This window comes from Homo sapiens, chromosome 2 (genome assembly GCF_000001405.40).
Source record: "Homo sapiens chromosome 2, GRCh38.p14 Primary Assembly".
In the NCBI taxonomy this organism is placed as follows: Eukaryota; Metazoa; Chordata; class Mammalia; order Primates; family Hominidae; genus Homo; species Homo sapiens.
This window is the reverse complement of record NC_000002.12, coordinates 154,226,031-154,239,879: the sequence shown is the minus strand read 5'-3', so window position 1 is coordinate 154,239,879 and position 13,849 is coordinate 154,226,031. Positions and strand designations below refer to the sequence as shown.

Here is a 13,849-nt window from a genome sequence, read left to right as displayed (position 1 = left end):
CTTGATTGTGTGCCAGTTAAGATCTTCATTATTTTTTAAAACCGTCTAAAAGATCACCTACCCAATAAAGTCTTCTGCAATATAGCCAGCTAAAAATGTCCATTTACCTCAATTACAACATTTTCCAGCATACATTTATTTGAAAAAGATTTATTAAGCATCTATAATACAAAAGATACTGTGCATATAAGAAAATAAAAATGTAAGGCATGGGAAAAGTAGTTGGATTTATTGTCATCTCTTTCTGGTGGCAAGATTCAAAAGATTTCTATGAACTTCATCATTTGACTTGTATCTCCAAGTAGCTCATCACTAAATAAACTTAGAAAGTCATCTTGGTAAATGAGAGAGGGTTCTCTCTACCATTTTCCTCAAATTTCCATTCTCCTGCCTCATTAAAAAAACCTAATCACTTTGAGCATGCAAAGCCAAGAGTAAGGTAAAGATCATCATCCTCCTCAAAGAAGTACAACTAGAAAAACAGGCTAAAAGCAGTCCAAAAGCCAACAACCAGTGGCTTCACTCAAGGACTACAGTGAATAAAGTCTACTCAGCATCATTTTTTAAAAAAGATTTTTTCAATCAACATTTTTTGTATGTTACACGAAATGCCAACAATTAAATGATTTAAAATGTCAAACTAAAAGCAGATATTTCGATACAGCATCTTAAAGTATTTCTACCAAGCTTTACTTTGTGATTAAAAAAATCCACTCACAAATGTTACCTTTATATTCATTTTATGTGTCAAAATTATAATGAATTAGTTTACTGTTAATGTAGCTATCATGTTTACTTAGAGAAAACTTCCACTGTCATTATTTAATGTAGCATAAAAATTAAATAGGGCTAATATTTTAATTAATTCTTCCTCTTCTTCCTGTGTAAACAGTCATTCATCAAAGGGTAAAATGGTTCAGTTATGGGGGATGAATAACTTCTGGAGATCTAATGCACAGCATGGTGACTATAATTAATAATACTGTATTGTATACTGTAGTTAAAATATACTAAGAAATTGATCTTAAGAGTTCTCACCACATCAAAAAAATCATAAAGATGTGAGCTGGCAGACGTGTTAACTTGATCATTTCACAATGTTTATGTGTATCAAAACATCAAGTTGTATACCTTAAGTATATATAACTTTTAGTTGTCAAATATACCTCAATAAAGCTGAATAAAGTCATTCAGCAAAGAAGACTCCTTCTGTACTATTAAAGTGACACAAATTAGTTCTTTTCTATGTCAGTTTATCTAGTTATCTTAAATGCATATATTTATATAAGCAAGAGTTATGATTTTCATTATTTCTGATGAATTTGTGGTACAATGAACTGGTATTATTGTCTGTATTTTACCAAAGTTAATGTTCCATCTGTGGGAAGATATGATTTTATCTACTATTATGAAAGAAAAAAATGTGGTCAAATTATAGCACAATGCTTTCTTATCACTAGAGTCCATTTAATACTTAAATAGAGCTTACAGAAAAAGCTTTTAAATGAATTTGGACTTAGATTTCTATCAATATTGTTATGCTCGACTTATGAATCAGTCACATCATTTTCCTGTAGATTTGAAGTTTCTTCCATGTATTTAAGCTTTCTTTGCCTTTAAATAGTATTGCTTATCATATGAGGGACAAACATTTAGCATATAACTCAAGAAATCTAAAACAGTGTCAACCTCTTGTGGATATCTTCCTTGGTACTATAAAGTCCTGCTTTTTAAAGTTTAAGGTGCAAATGAATTATGTGCGGATCTTGTTAAAATGCAGATTCTGATTCAGTAGATCTGGTATGAACTCATGATTCTACATTTATAATACCATCCTTGGTGGTGCCAACATTCCTGGTCCTTGGCTGACATGATAAGAAAAAAGCCATATAAATCAGTCAGCTGTTGATTAACAGGCAAATGTAGGATTGTAATGATGCCCCCAATAACAAATCTTTGTTTAATCATATAAAATTTAATTCTTGCTGTTCTTTCATATCTTGTTCTCTTCAGACAATAACTTTTTGTTCTAATATTGAACAATAATGTAATATTTTTGAAAAAATAGTGAATGACAATTAAACTCAATACATGCAGTACAAAGAGTACACATAATCTAGATGAAGCAATGGCTATATGAACAGCTGTGACCATGTTTGAAAAACTCATGCTAATTTCAGACACATAAAATGAAAAAACTGCACATCTTAACACATGTGAATACAATAATTTCTTTTGTTTAGACAACAAAATGCATTTAAAGTTTTGTGTAAAAAAACCTTTATACTATATGTTATACTATATATTATAAATAATATCTAACATGTTATATATAATATTACATATATATATATATATATAAAGCTGGCAGAGTTTTTAACTCACTGTTATTTCCAGAAACAATTCAAAACAAACAAGAACAACAACATGAACAAGGAACAAATGATGGAAGTGGGGATAAGTACTTAAAACAAAACAAATAGATAGAACTTGGCTAATAATCTATTCTACTTGAGACAAGACAATTTGTTCTTTGTGATATAAAAAGGATAATTTCACCACTTTTCACCTCAGTTTTTATATCTTTTACATAATAAGATTAAGGTAGGCAATCTCAAAGGTCTCATCTGAAATGTATGGTAGACATTCTTTGGTATATGCTGCAGAGTAAAGCTCATAATCTCCACATGGTGGAACTGGAAAGGACTTTCAAAGTTGGCTAATTCAAAGTTTCATTTCACAGAATACAAGTCTCAAGCTGCATAGTTCTTTCAGTACTATATTAAAGTAGTAATAATAATGCAATAAAAATAATTTAGTAATACTAATGATTTCTGCCTGAGATTCTTTTATAATGCTATATCAAAAGTTTTAAATGACATTAATTGTAAAAAAATTAATTGGAAAAATTAGAAACAAATAAAGCATATTAAAATGTGCCTTAATCTTGCATTCAAATATATATATCGTTGTATCAGATAGGAAAATACCAATTTCCCTGGGATCACTTCATTAAAACTAAGCATAAAATGTCAGCTTGAATTGAAATTATGTATATTTAGACCAAATAACCCTTTTAGCAACATGTCTTATGAAGTTATTATTTGTTTTCTTTTATGTAAACATCTAAATGGGATTAGCAAAATTGACATTATTGTAGAGCACAATGTATATGTAATTAACTTTGAGAGTAAAAGTGGCAGATGGCAATAGCAATTTTCATCAATTTGAAAGGAATATTTGATGTCCAAATCAAGAGCCTGAAATCTGGTATTCCAGTGAAATCATAAGCTTTATCATGGCAACAGTTAACACTATATTGACATGCTGAATTTGTAATACTTGCAAGGAAGTGAAAGTTTATTTTTTTAATTCTATGATAATATATCTGTGGCTCTTAATCTTGGCTGGACATTGGAATTATCTCATGAGCTCAAAAAACTATAGGTGTGAGAGCTTCTGTCACAGAAATTCTGATTAAAGTGTCTGACTGTGTCTACAGGTGAAAATATTTTTAAAAAACTCTTTGGAAGTTCAAATGTGTAGCCAAAGTTGAGAATGGTTACTCAAGTACTTTACCATAAAGATAGACTCTTTGAAACATGTAAAACCTTTAGGCTTATGCCAACATTTTAAAATATGATGCATGAGGTTAACATCTCTTTGTGTGTTTATATCTTATAAAAGTAGGAAGATTACCTTTATGTCATATAAAAGCAAGAAGACAATATTTACTGTCACGAAAGCAGGGAAAGTCAGAAAGTCTTCTCCACTTCTTTTACAATCTCTTCTGTCATCTGGATGTACACTAATGCTGTTCTCATGGTCTATTAGCTGTTGATTTATAAATATATAAAAAATAAATCCAGCTGATCTACTTTGGAAAGAATATGGAGGCAGAATCATATTTCCAATGTCTGTAACATAGCAATACAGTGAAATAGTATTCCTATTTATCACTTTTTCCCTAGGCTATGCACACATTACAGAAACATAAACTGTTACAATTTGATTTTATCCTTTCAAAACCATATTGATGTTTTCAGATAAGCTACTGAACACAACATGCCACATCAGAGAAATAAAAATTGACTATAAGATGAGAATGTGAAATCACAAAGGATCCATGATTACACAGTGATTTAGATAGACACAATCCATTCAGGACTCCAAACAAAGGCTGTCAACACTGGAGTTTGCATGACTTGTTGGACTGCTGCTCATTGAGCCAGTGGTTGCCTTTTACTACCTCAGTCAATGAATATTAATAACACTAATTAAAATAAAGACTTGCAATGCAAGTCCTCTATATATTTTAAGAGCTATGAGAATTGCAGAATTATGTGTGGTTTCTATGTTTCCCAATCATTAACATTCATATTCAGAGAGAGAAATTTCATCGTTCTCCCATGCATCCATGCAAACAAAACTTGGGCAACCAAAAAGTGATTGTTTCATAATAATTGAGCAGCTTGGGGCCTGAAGTAAAATGAAGCACTAAATTTTGCATGGGTTTCTGTGTGTTGGTTTATATTTACAATGTGTTAAATCTTCCAAAAGTAAGTTTCTATGTCATAATTACTTGGGTAATTCAATTTTTTAAAAAATCAGATTGGTATTCATCTGCTCCAAACATCTTTATTTTAAAATCCAGGGAGATGCCGTACTCATCTTTGGTGTATTTGCTATCAGATCAATTATTTGCTTCTTCTGTTTTCTTCTGATTATTGGTGGGGATGGGGTGAGAGGGTCATTGGGCAGGATGTACTTCCAACGCTCCCATACTTCTTGGCTTCCATTGGAAATATGTCGTAGGAATCTCAGGTGGGAGATAGCGGTGCTGGACAAAATAGGAACAGGAAGCCAAGGAATTTCTCTACTTTTCCCTAATCCCATATTAGAATATACGGCCCCCTTCCCTGGCCTTGTACCTTCTACATGCCTTAATCTTTTACTTTTTTATACTCTTTCACAATAAATCTATCAAATCCAATAGACTAGGGGATTCTTTAAAAGTAGAACAGAAGGAAGGTTCACCTTATTTATCTCTGCCTCTCCAGAATCTAGCATTCTGCATGTCACAAAAATATTGTTAATAAGGGGTTGAATGGATGAAAGGTTTGCAATGAGGAGTCATATTGTATGAATTATCAGATCAACTCCCCAGTCATATCTCTGCATTATTACAAGATGAAATAGAAGTGTAGAAATACCTTTTTAAAAAACATTTTTTTCATATCTTCAATTGATTTTTTCTATAACCAAAAATGAGCAAAAGACAGAGAAGGGAAAGGGAAAGAGTATATGAAAATGAGTTTGCAAGTCATCCAATTGTAACACATTCCCCTCAAACCTCAGTAACATAATTACTATTTGGACATATTGGAACAAGATCTGTGTCTGGAAAACCTGTAGTTTCCTCCCCATTCTGCCATTTAAAATATGTGACTAAACTCTCTAAGCTTCAGTTTTGTCATCACCTAAATTAGAGTAAAACTGCTCCGATATCTACATTGCAGAAGTTTGGAGGAGAACATATGAAATTATAATGGAATGATATGAATGTAATTTATTATTATAATATTCTTATAATATGAAGCACTGTACAGAATATTATAGATAAGATCTCTAAAATTATTTGGGTCAGCTATGCTGCTAGTAGGACTCTGATCATTGACACAGTTCTAATATCTTGTATTTTATCTTTAATTTCTGTGGTCAAACTTTTATTTCATATTCACTATTTCCCAAAAAATTTCAGTAATAGATCTGGTGACTAGACCATCTAGGCTTGAGGGAAGCTTTACCTGTTTGTCCAATGTAGCAGTATGGAGTAAGGGTCCTGCCTCTTTCCCTTTCAGCTCTTTTAAATCATGTGTAGCTCCTAATCCTAAATTTATCTGGCCTGCTGGTAGATCTTCCAGCTTACTCACTTTAATCTCTGTTTAATATTTTCAGCTGGAAGAACCCAGAGGATCATACTTTGCCTGCTTGCTTAGATCTCTGCTTCTTCCCTCCTCCTGACCATCCATGAGCTATCTGCCATCTTGCACCCCCTCCTACTAAGCACAACTGGGACCGTCCCCGACCACTTTCTCCACTCTATTGTTCTGTCTGGTTACCAAATTTTGCATCTTGTCAGAGTTAGGCTAGGTCTCCCATCTATCAAGCCCTGATTTAAGAAACATCATACACAAGAGGCAGTTATAAATGGCTAACATTTGTGGATATACTAATTATATAGCAGGTATTGTGCTGTGTGTTTTATATGGATCATGCCATTTGTTCAGAACTGAGACTTCCAGCAACCACACAGATTACCTATCAGAACTATGATAAGGCTTAAAAGTCATAAACAACTTCATTTCATGCATCAAGAACTACTAGGAAATAAATCTATTCAAACAATAAACTGTTCAAACAGCCTCATTCTCAGGAGGGTAAGTTGCTCACGTGGGTAAACAGCCTGCTTCATAGGACTATTATATATTGCCTAACTAGACAAACTGGTTGCTTATCAATTAACCTCCAGAACTTCGTTATTATGTCTACCCATCCCAAACTATTATGTTACATACTTCACACAATACATTAAAAGACCTTCCTTAAACTACTTAAGTCCAGATTCCCTATGTCTACAAATATCCACCTTGGCCTCTCCTTTCTATGACTACTAAGACATCTGCTAAGGTGGTGATCAGGAAATAAACTCAGTTTCCTTCTTCATCAGTTTATTCTGGTGGTCTTTTGTGGCGTTAACAGAAAAGATAATCCTTACAATATTCCTTATGAACCATTTGTACTTTTTTTCTTTTCTTTTTCTTTTTTTTTTTTTTTTTTTTGAGACAGGGTCACTCTGTCACCCATGCTGCAGTGCAGTGGCAAGATATTGATTCACTGCCACCTCCGCCTCCTGGGCTCAAGCATCCTTCTACTCAGCCACCTAAGTAGCTGGGACTACAGGCACATGCCACCACTCCCGACTTATTTTTGTAATTTTTTTTTTTTTTGTAGCGACAAAGTCTCACAATGTTGCCCAGGCTTGTCTCAAACTCCTGAGCTCAAGCAATCTGCCCACCTCGGCTTCCCAAAATGCTAGTATTACAGGCCTGAGCCACTGCACCCAACCTAATTATACTATTGCTCCCACTTGATAAATAAAGAACCTGATGTTCCAATCAGTTAAGTAACTTGCTTCTATGTAGTGGAGCTGGGTTTCAAACCCATGCAATCTGATTTCAAAAGTTATTTCCTGATGGGATACAGTGTTTTACTAGTTCAGATAGTGTTTCTGATAACAATGGTAGTTATATCACCATCTTAACTAAGCCACATGGTAAATAAAGATGGTACGTTATTTTTGTTGCAGTATACTTTAATGGAAATAAATAGGACTTAGATATAAAGAAGTCTACAGTGATTATTAGAGTGATGATGATTTTAAAGTCTAAAGCAGTAACGTCCATCAAGGCCTGGTGCCTTAAAAACAGTGAAGTAACCTTCACTGGGAATAAATGGGAACAAATGGGAATAAATTTATGGACACTATGAGAGAAGCAGAACAGAGCAGAACATTGACAGGATCAATACTATTAACTTTAGAGGCTGTAAATGTGCTACTACATATTTACTAGTTGTATTTTCATATCACAAAATATATTTAATAAGAGGTTGAATGAGTGAAAGCTTCACAGTGAGGCAGGCATTGCATGAATTATTAGATCAACTCACCAATTACATTTCAGCATTGTTATAATTGGAATGTTATCTGAGATGATCCAGGGCAGCATAAGCCTAGAGTTAGACTGGGCTTCTCTCTCTCTCTCTCTCTCTTTTGTTTTAACTCTCTGTGCTTCAGTTTCTTTGGTTGTAAAATGGGAATAATAATATCTACCTCACAGAGTTGTGAGACAAGAGGCAGTAAATGTAAAGTAGGCCAGTGCCTAGAATATAGTATAACATATATGTAAATTTATTACATGGTGCTTTTTTATTGTATATAGCCATAATTTTCTTATTTGAATTTTTAAAAATCTATACAAAAATAAAACCAAACAAAATAGGTTAGATATTAGGTTGGTGCAAAAGTAATCACAGTTTTTGCCATTGAAAGTAATGGCAAAAACTGCGATTACTTTTGCACCAACCTAATAGCATATGGCCCAGTGAATTCAACACTATTGGTGAGGAAAGACATTTTATCTTCCACTGCACCTTGTGGTTTTTACTAAAACTGTAGAAATAGAACTTCAAAAGGAATAGTCAAATAGTCACCCCTTATAGACTTGTTTTGAAAAGTCTAACTGAAGTTCTTTAAAATAAAAGTGCTAATTGAAGTTCTTTAAAATAATAAAACTTCTTTACCATTTTTGAATAAATTAAGTGCCTCACCAGAGTAGTAATGAAAGAGCAACCCAAAATAAAAACAAAACAAAACAAAATCCATCTATAAGAGCAACATCATCAATAGAAACATGAGTTCTTCTAAGGTGAGTGCTTTGAAGAGGCCCCCATGTCTTTAAATCATAACCACAGATAGGTTATTTAAGAAAGTAAACACATTATTATTTTAGCAACTAGCACTGGCAACCCACTTATGAAAGAAATTGCCTTTGACAGGAAGAATTTCTTTTAAGGAGGTATGTATTGCCAGGAAACCGAGGAAATAGCTGCTTTGAATGAGATAAGGGGAATATTTGCTTTATTCCAGGAGGGTAGGGGCTTAAGGTAGGGAAAACTAAAGAAAGGAGTAAAAAGAGACTATGATGAGGAAAGGAGCAAGTCAAATGATGTGAAGCTAAAAAGGCCAGTGAGCTCCTCAGTGGTGGTGTGATAGCTGGAGGAAATCTAAAAATGAGTTTTGTCTAAAGTTCAGGTTTCACTACAATCTTGCAATACAAGCCCACCTCCTCTCTTATTGTCCACTGCATTTAGCCTATTAATAAATGCATTATATTAGCAATGTCATGGCAATGTCATTAATGTGAGAAAAAAGCCAAATTTAGTATCTGGATTGAACTGTGAGGAGCAGAGAAAGCAGTAACAAAAGCAGTCACAAAACACTTAAGTCTACCAGAGAACTGAATAAATCTTGCATGGCTCTCTGAACATCCATAGATAATTCTTCTGGGGTTTCAGTGGACCTCATCTGGACTTTAACAGAGAGGGTACACTAGGCTGATGTCTAAGTTATTTTTAAAAATAAAATGTCATGAATATAATTTCTATTAAATAAATAACAATCATATATTACCATTGGAGTTATTTCTACAATGTCAATAATTTTAAAACACCCTGTTTATCTAGCACGTAAAAATGAGGGAGATAACCTACAGTATTATGCAAGCAAGTTTTATATTCTTTCTATTGTGAAGAACTCTCTTGAATTTTGGAAATAAATGATAATAAAAGTAAAAGAACACCAAGTAAATGTTGTGGCCTTTGTTGTTTTGGAACAGGAATTTTTGGAATTGTTCCCTTTATGTAACCTCTGAATATAATTCTTTCATGCTATTGGAAGTAGTTAACAATTAGTTGCCTGGAATAAATAAGTTTATTGCCTGTGATAACTGTAATTAAAGTGACTTTGCAGCAAACTTCCTCCTGCAATTCATAAGTTAAATTTTTACTTTTGTTAGTAATAATAACACTGGATTTTATTATCAGCAGGTCTGGACTCTGGTCTGGGCTTTGCTTCTGCTCTCATTTATGGTCTTATCCCAGTCAACTGACCACTCAGGGGCTCATGTTTTTTACCTCTCTGAGACAATGAAACCACCATCCACCCAAGTTCAAAGCCAGAAACTTTGATGTTGACATTACAATGGTGATGCTGACATCATGAATCAACAAGCCCTTAAATTATTGCATGGAATCAGTATAGTGCATCTGTGGAGTATTCTTGATCCTCAAAATATATTCTCCTCATGGCAGACAAAAACGCAAATCTAAAACATCCACTCCTTTATTCAAATGTTTTTGATGACTCTTCCTTCCTAATGATAAAGTCTAAAGGCTTCACAGGATCTGGATCAGCTTCACCTCATGTTATCTTTTCCTTTCACTGTTGCCTTTCAACTCTTCAGCAATGTTGAACATATCAATGTTTCTTCAGGGAACAAAGCCCTCTCATGCTTTTAACTCTTTCTAGCTGTAGAATGCCTTCTATCTGGAATGCTTTCTTTCATGCAGAACTCACGTATATTACCCAAGATAGGCCTCAAGTCACACTTCCTCTCAGAAATCCTAATTTTCTCCATTGGCATTCAACTATTCCCTCTCCTCATCTCCCAGTAAATTTTATATATTTATTCGCCTTTCCTTCTTATATAAATAGGATATTGGGCAATTAAACTCACTGAGAGGTTGAAGTCATTCTGAAGTGTGTGGAAAATTCCTGATGGTAGTGTAACTACTGTTTTCAGTGCAAAATATGAAAGATTCTCTGAAAAGATCCATTTCCTCTTAGGATTCTTCTAATGAGACTTTTCACCCATAGAATTTTTAAAATTATATATATATATAAAATTACATACTCAGCAAAAGTTTTGAGAATTAGTATATACTAAACATACGTTGGCTATGGGCCATACAATCTTGAAGAAAGATGTAGTTATTGATAACGAAAGTCAAATTGTCAATTGAAGCTCTGTATCCAGAGTAAATTAGGATAAGCTATGACTGGAAGGAAGAGAGATGTGTCCGGTGTTTACACATCATTACATTCAGAGAAGCATTTTTTTTTCTTTTTTTTGGTCAAGAATGCAACAGAACTGAAGTGCCAAGAAAAACACTACATTAAGAACAGCCCAGTGTTGGCAAAGGACAAGAGGCTTGCCCCGGGTATACAGCAACAAGCACAATGAAGAGATACTAACAGATAAATTGATGGTATTTGTAGAGTTTGGTAGCAGGTAGTGAAACTGACCCAAATAGTCCCATCAACTGTTCCATTTGATAAACATAGAAATTGACCTTTCTGATCTTAAAGCTTGAAACTTATATTTGTTTTATCTAAATTCCTTCCTCAGGAAAGGACCTTCAAGCCTCTCAAAAAAAAGCATCAAAGAACTGAAACTCACCAGATCACCACATCCTGAAAATGAGATTCCAGACCCCTCATTCATCATGCTTGCTTCCTTACTCCTCCCTAGTTCCTGTTTTCTCATACATTGTTATATTTCTTCCCTTCTATAAAAACCCCTAGTTTTAGTCAGTTAGGGAAATAGATTTGAGACTGAGCTCCTTGGTGGCAACACCCAATTAAAGCCTTCTTCCTTGGCAATATTAATCTTCTCAGTCATTGGCTTTCTGCAAGGTGAGCAGCAGGTCCTACAGCAAACCTCTAGTGTTTCAGTAACAATAGCAGGGACCACATCCAGGGGACGATTTCAGAAATAGATCACAGTCCCAGAGAAAATAATTCCCTCATGGAGAAACAGGGCTTCTGATTTTGCTGCAGCAAGATATTCATACAAAAGTGCAGGACACAGAATCAGTTCATGGATCACAGTGCAACGTGGGAACTAGAGCTCAGGACCAAAGCAGTAACCTAAAGAGATAGGGTCAATTAAGATGTAAAAATGGGCTTATTAACCCTTTCCCATTTAGGGGGAAAAAAAAAGTGTAGATCTCTGCCAGCGCTCATTTAATTTTACATAAACACGCTCTTTGAGGCTGAGGCAAATCTGACTGATTTTTAATGGGAAAATGAAATATAAAAACTGTTCTTGGAGTTATTTCTAAACAGAACTAACATCAGAATCATCTGAATCATAAGAATCATCTATTTCAGAAAAATTGGATTCATCAAATGAATCTTCAGCCAGCAAACTGTTTGAGAACAATGTTAACATCACACGTAGGACTGCTATGTTTTCTAGGATTTGACATTTACAGTGATTGAGAATTACCATATTTTGTAAATGGAAATACCACTACTAAAAACAGAATTCAATAAATAGAATGATGTCTATTGTTTCCAAAGTCAATATACTAGAGCCATGCAAATATAATAATAAAAGTGAGATATTTCGTGGCAAAGTTATCTCAGGGTAAACGCTACAGCCACAAGCGCCACTGGTGAGTACTGCAGGTGCAAACGGGAAATGGGTTAAGCTAGAATGAAGGCCACAACCAGCCTATTTTTGTGTGATTAGAAAAATGTGCCCCAGGTACACATAAACACCCTGGAATAGTATGCAGCCACAAAAAAGGATGAGTTCATGTCCTTCGTAGGGACATGGATGAAACTGGAAACCATCATTCTCAGCAAACTATCGCAAGGACAAAAAACCAAACACCGCATGTTCTCACTCATAGGTGGGAATTAAACAATGAGAACACATGGACACAGGAAGGGGAACATCACACTCTGGGGCCTGTTGTGGGGTGGGGGGAGGGGGGAGGGATAGCATTAGGAGATATACCTAATGTTAAATAACGAGTTACTGGGTGCAGCACACCAACATGGCACATGTATACATATGTAACTAACCTGCACGTTATGCACATGTACCCTAAAACTTAAAGTATAATAAAAAAAAAGAAAAAAAGAAAAATGTGCCCCAGGTAGCCAGTGGAGTCCTGCTATCACAAACCTAAAAGCAAATGAAGCCTTTGTATCCAGAAAAAGTCACCCTTTTCTCAGTGAGACAGCCCCTCCCCACATCATCAGCAGAGTGCACCCACTCATTTCTTCAGCTGGTGTCTTTGTGCAGTACACACACTGGATCACTCTGCATGAATGTACTGAGCCTAGAAGTCCTTAAATCACCCTGACTACGAGAGATGATATGTTCTGTTGCCAGAGGAACAGTTGCATCTTTAGATGAAGTGGAGCAGAAAGTCATGCAGATAATTGCACTTTATTTGAGCAGGGTCAATGAGGAGCGTCTCTCTGCATACAGCAAAAATGGGGGCTTTGTGAGAATAGATACTGTTTCCATTTATTTCTATCTTTGTTAACTATATAGCACTATATACTAATGCCAATAAATATAAAATCAATATAAATGGTATTTAATAATACTCTGAAATTGAATATCATGAATTTCTGACACTAAAGAAATGTTTCAAGGAACAACTTTGTTCTTGCGGCATAAAAACTTAAATACTACTTGTTATATTTACAAAAACATTTTAAATCCATCAACAAGAACAATTAATATCAGTTTTGTGTGTGAAATAAGTTAAAAAATTAAAGCAGAGAAATCATGTTGTTTTACCTACTAAAATAAAATTTAAAAAATATTAAATAGTAATCGCAAGGTTTAATTGCTGCTAAATTAAGTGTCAATTAAAAGATTATATGCATCATAAATTTCTCTTCTTGCATATTTCTCCATGCACAGTTTTAAAGAATAAATACATTGTTTTTTCTCTTTGTATTTTATTCTCATTAAGTACAATCATTGTTATAAATGACAATAATAGGAACATCATTTTGGGAGGAAGAGAGATTTGTCTGGTATTTACACATCATTACATTCAGGGAAGCATTTTTTGACAAGAATGCAAGAGAAGTGATACTGTGTATTTAGTGCATCATAGAAGTTGACAGAGAATGTGATTTGTGCCATTACTAATGTTAACTTTGATCACTTAAGGTGAGAATTTGTAAACTTTTCAATTTTTATCAAAATTTCACTCACTAGTTACATCATTATTGGAGCTCAGAAAACGATACACCAAAACAAAGGCTTCATAATAAAAGATTTTCTCTGACCTTCTCCTGCCCTCCTGTCTCTGTTCATTCATTCTCCCCCAAGGCTAGCCAGAATCCCTCTTTTCCAAGGTGGGTCATAATAAACAGAACCCCGTTTCCCCAAAGCCAGTCACAAAACCTAAA

General features: G+C 34.4%; 1 protein-coding gene across 20 annotated transcripts in view; it reads right to left on the bottom strand.

Annotated features, from left to right (window-relative positions):
- The window catches only part of GALNT13 (polypeptide N-acetylgalactosaminyltransferase 13), a 1,388,282-nt gene that overhangs the window by 216,695 nt on the left and 1,157,738 nt on the right, over window positions 1–13,849 (bottom strand). The window contains exon 2 of one of the 20 annotated variants that reach the window (XM_011510538.3): window positions 3,700–3,834. The exons of 18 other annotated variants lie outside the window; for them this stretch is intronic. The gene's annotated coding sequence lies outside the window, so the exon portion shown is untranslated. The remainder of the gene's footprint in view (window positions 1–3,699; window positions 3,835–13,849) is intronic. One more of the 20 variants, XM_047443121.1, reaches the window with a different exon arrangement.